Source organism: Homo sapiens, chromosome 18 (assembly GCF_000001405.40).
Source record: "Homo sapiens chromosome 18, GRCh38.p14 Primary Assembly".
Lineage (NCBI taxonomy): Eukaryota > Metazoa > Chordata > Mammalia > Primates > Hominidae > Homo > Homo sapiens.
This window is the reverse complement of record NC_000018.10, coordinates 47,070,485-47,076,102: the sequence shown is the minus strand read 5'-3', so window position 1 is coordinate 47,076,102 and position 5,618 is coordinate 47,070,485. Positions and strand designations below refer to the sequence as shown.

Sequence of the window (5,618 nt, the reverse complement as noted above, 5' to 3'; positions counted from 1 at the left end):
TTTCTCAGAGATCTGTTTTTTCAAGCCAGGGGTGCCAGATTTAGTAAAAAGCTTCAGTGGAAAATACCTCTGATCAAGACAGAAAGCTGATCTTAAAAACGAACGAACAAAAAGCACAACACTACTCTGGCTTTTGGAAGCACAAACAGAAGGCTTATTACAGTCTGAGAAGTGTTCCTGCCTGCTGAGGATATTCAGTGACAATCTTTAGAGATAATATATGTAACATATTTAAAGTCAGCCCTGCTGAGCCATAACCTGATGCCACAGAGAAGTGGTGTTTTCCCAGGCTTCACACACCGTCGAGGACTGCCTCTCAGGAGTGAAGTACAGACGTGGCCCTGCACAGTGGCTGAGTGGGCAAGACTCATTCCCCAGGGGCAGCCCCTCTGGCTCCAGAGGAGGCCATCACAGCGGCTATTTTCAGCCAGCAGAACCGATATGGCAGCCTGGGATCCTGGGGCTAGAGGATCTTCAGGCCTGAAAACCACTCTGTGGGGAACGGGGGAAGGGAGAATGGCATTTCCTCCGGTTATAAAAACTACTTAAATCAGCTATTCAGTTAACAGGATCTAATTTAAAGACCTTTCCATGTGTCTGCAGAAAATTTGTGGGCTTATTAATGGGCTCATTCTGCTAGTAAATGTCTATAGGCTTCCGACCATCAAACACACAAGAGGGGAGAAGCCATGACAAAAAACAACAACAACAAAAACCCCAACCCTGTCTGTTACCCAGAAGCTGTGCCTCTCTGACTCATCACCGACTCCAGCTCGTCCAGGAAGATCGTGGATGGGGCGTGGTAGCGGGCAAGCTCAAATAACACCTGGGTGGGGGAAAAGCAAGCAAGTGTTCAAGCTTATAGACTTAAAGTCCTCAGATGCTCCCAGAGTAAAAACTTAGAATGACTGTAATAATAAGCATTTATGCTGCACTCTGTTATTTCACAAAAACTTTATAATCATTACAATCATTTCTCCCTACCTTCACCCCATGGGGTTGGATGGTCCGATTATTTCCATTTATCACTTGATAAAATTAGAGGCAGAGAGTAGGTGGTTACTCCAAGGTTACTAATCATAAATATGAGAGCTTCAGATAAATTTAGGTTCCCAAGCTTGCAGTTGGCCAGTTAACCCCTGAAACACCCTGCCAATAATATGTTCCATATGGACACAAGAGCCTTGGAATATGTATAATCATTTGATAATTCTTCCCTTAATCTTTGGGAACAATGGGAGGTTATTCTCAGAAGAAAGGATTTCAGGGGAAGGATTGGGTTCCCATCATGGGTAACAAGGCTGACAAATTTAGCCCCTTTGTGTTCTCCAAATTACTCCGTAGCCTTCCCACACTACCTCAACAAGGCTGCTTGGTAGGCTTAGGTACGGAAGGCAATTCTCAATTGAATACGATGTTCTATTTGAGAATAAAATAAAATATTATAGACTGAACAAGAACAGGAAAGCAACCGGCAAAAGAACAGACATATAAAAACAAAATAAAGAGCTCTAAAGGGAGATGTGGTGGTGATTAATAGAATATAACAACCTAAACCTTTATTTTTTTAACCCTGAAACTGATCTCTTGAGCATCATATACAATCCTTCACTGGTTGATGGGAAAAAACAGTGGAGATTTAAAAAAGAACAGAGATTCTTTAATAGGCATGGGGGATTTATTCTCCATGTCACTTAGCACTAGCAAACCATCACAGAATTAGAGGGAAAGGGTTCTGAAAAAGTCAGGTTGTGGTTTTCACGAGCAGCAGCAGCTCATCCCTTACAGGTCTCCCTGTCACTGAACAGGAAATACCTCACCTTCCCCACTGCTCGTGGGTACATTCAAGCGCATGCACCAGCATCTCCCTTTTACAGAATCCTGTTTTATAGGAACAACTGGCTGAGTTTAATGAACTGAGAGAACAATGGCAATGCTGGGGCATTCATCACAATGCCTTTCAGATACAATGGAGACCACCTAATTCAGGGCAAATAACTTTCCGTCCTTGTCACACACATACACAAAGAAGCCCAAATATACCTGATATTAAGGGTGATTACGACAGTGGCAATCTACCCAATGAGGAATGAAATATTAGAATATAAAACCCGTACATGTTTTTAAGGTGCTCACTAAAGGCAAAGAGAGACCAAGAGCCTCTGCTAGACCAAACACCCAGTTGGAAGGAGAACCACGCCTGGAGTCTAGGCATTCATACTGTCCTCTGCATTGCTCTTTCCACTCATAGGGAATATACAGAATCATGGGTAAGTGTTTCTGGAAGCATTAGTCTAAAATTTTCAGAGGAACCTGGAGGAAGTTAAATCATACAACTGGGGGGCGGTGCATTGAAAGATGTAAGCATCAACAGATGTATGCATTTGCTAAAGAGACCACTCAACTATTCAGTAGCGATCAGCTCCTAAGAGGCACAGACATTAGTAGGGGAGGGAGGAACACAACCCAATGGTTCCCTATAAATAACTCTTTAATTGGAATAGAAAGAGAAACAAATGGTAGAAAAAGCTTCTCTGCTTTAGGGGAAGGTCCTGAAGGGTTTGCTTTCTTTGAAAGCTTCACAGTAAGGAGCCTGACAGCATGACCAAGATTGTCCAGTTGAGGATCTTCCCAAAAGCTCAGAAAATAAAGAGAAAATGATGTAATTTCTGAAAGGAAATGAGACGAGTTCCTTCGAGGTTAGCAGAGGTTATCTGTTTCTTCTTGAATTATTTTTTAAAATATCCAAAATAAAAATGCACATCACAAAAGGATATAAATATTTTCTAAACCTTTCAAAAGTTGCTCAAGTTCATTCAGAATCAAAGAAATACATATTCGAGCACTGAAATATTGAAATGCATGTTTAATCACTGAAATACACTATTACTTTTTGGTATTAGATTGACAAATGTTTATTTTAAAAAATATATTGGTGTGTTGGCCAGGGTGTGGAGAAGCAAACACACTCATGAACCATTGATGGGACTGTAAGCGAGTACAACCCTGTTGGCAAGTAATCTGGCAATCGGTGATGTCTGTTCCCTCTGACTTGGCGATTCTACTTCGTACAAATTGTCCCATACTATATGGGCAAAAATGTGTACATATAAGACTGCCCACTCTAGCTTTGTTCATAATAGCAAGAGACTAGAAACAATCTAAAGGCCCATCAAGCAAAGACTGGTTAAATACGTTTTGGCACATTTATGCAATGAACTACCATATAGACATATGAAAGAACATGCTTTATCTATAATAGTGTGGAACAATATCCAAGTTATATATATTAAGTTGGGGGAAAAGCCAGGTACAAAAGGGAACACATAGTATGTTCCTACTTGTATTTAGAAAGGCAGGGAGATGCTAGGCATGGTGGCTTATGCCTGTAATCCCAGCATTTTGAGAGCCCAAGGCGGGAGGATTGCTTGAGGCCAAAAGTTCAAGAGGAGCCTGGGCAACATGGTGAAACCTGATTTCTACACAAAAATTAGCTGGGCTTGGTGGTGTGCACCTATAGTCTCAGCTACTGGGGAGGCTGAGGTGGGAAGATTACTTGAGCCCAGGAGGTCGAGGCTGCAGTCAGCTGTGATAGTGCCACTGCACTTTGGCCTGGGTGCCTGGGTGACAGAGCAAGACCCTGCCTCAAAACAAAACAGAAACAGAACACCCAAAAGAAACAGTTGTTGATGCTAACGTAGATAATAGATAAATGTTCTGCAGGGCTGCTCCAGCAACTGTTAATAGTAGTTGCCTCTGCAGAGAGGGCTCAGGAGTCTGTGTATCCTCTTATACTTTTTTTTAAAAGGCTAGTTACTTTAAAAATATATAGTAAAAGAAAGGAAGAGGCTGGGCACGGTGGCTCATGCCTGTAATCCCAGCCCTTTGGGAGGCCAAGGTAGGCAGATCACAAGGTCAGGAGTTTGAGACCAGCCTGGCCAATATGGTGAAACCCTGTCTCTACTAAAAATACAAAAAGCCAGGCATGGTGGGGGGCACCTGTAGTCCCAGCTACTCAGGAAGCTGAGGCAGGAGAATCACTTGACAGAGGTTGCAGTTAGCCGAGAATGCACCACTGCACTCCAGCCTGGGTGACAGAGCAAGACTCTGTAAAAAAAAAAAAAAAAAAAAAAAAAAAAAAAAAAAAAAGAAGAAATTGGGAGAGGAATTGTTTCCTCACTCTTTTTTTTTTTTTTAATTAATTTTTTTTGCTCCCACTCCACTGGGACTTTTCTTCACTCTTAGAATCCTAACAAAATAATACTGAACCAGAGGAAAACTTTAAGTAAATACAATGCTCACACAGGATGGATAATTCTTGTTAATTGACTTTTCTGGCTATTCAACATTAAACCAGAAAATCCATGTAACTTCAATCTTTGTTAGGAATATTATAAACTTCCTGAGTTTCCTCTTCTGTCTAGGTAAGTCCTGTCTCAAGAGTATGTCACCTTCCTTCGTGTACCTAGCAGTGTCTTGTGCTCGTGGTTCCAAACACCACTTTTCATGACAGGAGATGAACCTAAACTAATTCTGGGTGGTATCTTTTAAGAGTTTTGTTGCTATTCAGCATATAGAAATGATATTTAAAAAAAAAAGACTTCAGGGTGATAAGAATTCTAGTGAGATGAATTTCAGCTACAGTCGTCTCTAGGCATATGGAAGAGATTGGTTCCAGAACCTCTCCCTGTTCCCCCTGACACTCTTCCCCGTACCAAAATCTGTGCATATTAAGTTGGGGGAAAAGCCAGGTACAAAAGGGAACATAGTATGTTTCTACTTGTATTTAGAAAGGCAGGGAGAAGCTAGGCATGGTGGCTCATGCCTGTAATCCCAGCATTTTGGGAGCCCGAGGCGGGAGGATTGCTTGAGCCCAAGAGTTCAAGAGGAGCCGGGGCAACATGGTGAAACCTGGTTTCTACAAAAAATACAAAAATTAGCTGGGCTTGGTGGTGTGCATCTATAGTCTCAGCTACTGGGGAGTCCCACAGTCGATCCTGGGAAACCCACATATACTCGGGTTTTGCATCCTGTGAATACTGTATTTTGTTGAAAAAAATTCCCCATATAAGTAGACCCGTGCAGTTGAAGGGCCAACTGTTGTTCAAGGGCCAACCGTAACTGAACCTCCAGCTAACTAAAATCACATGGAACCATAACTGTAGGTGCAGCTAAATTCAAGCCCCATCTTCGGAACTGGCACTGAGTTAGATGCAAGATGAAGAACAAAGAAATAGAAGATATCAATGTAGATTTCCACAAATTACCATCTTGAATGGGTAACAAGAATTTACATAAGCTTACATATTTACAACAACTTGAAAATGATATCAAGGTAATAGATAATAGGTTATTTTAGGAAAATCAATCCTTTAAACATATTCTATTATGACTTCCAAATAGGCCATCATATTTTGAAACAGTCATCTAAGGGAATGTAATTTAAGCATAATTTGTTAATCACTTTTCAGAAAATACGTAATATTTTATATTCACTTATATTGATTACATATCTGCCATTCTACAGAGCGTGATAGTTTAACAGGATTTCAAAGAAGGACCTGTCTTACACTGGGACCTAAACCATAAATGGAAGTGCTCTTAATGTCATTGGAAGA

The 5,618-nt window shown here is 41.1% G+C and overlaps 1 protein-coding gene across 25 annotated transcripts in view; it reads right to left on the bottom strand.

Moving 5' to 3' along the window:
- Positions 1-5,618, bottom strand: part of KATNAL2 (katanin catalytic subunit A1 like 2) — a 184,650-nt gene that overhangs the window by 26,141 nt on the left and 152,891 nt on the right. For all 25 annotated transcript variants that reach the window (NR_148563.1, NM_001353904.1, NM_001353899.1 and 22 more), the window contains one exon: positions 735-826. Coding sequence is in view for 24 of the 25 variants with exons in the window: in NM_001353904.1 (NP_001340833.1) it covers positions 735-826 (92 nt within the window). In the remaining variant the exon portion in view is untranslated. The remainder of the gene's footprint in view (positions 1-734; positions 827-5,618) is intronic.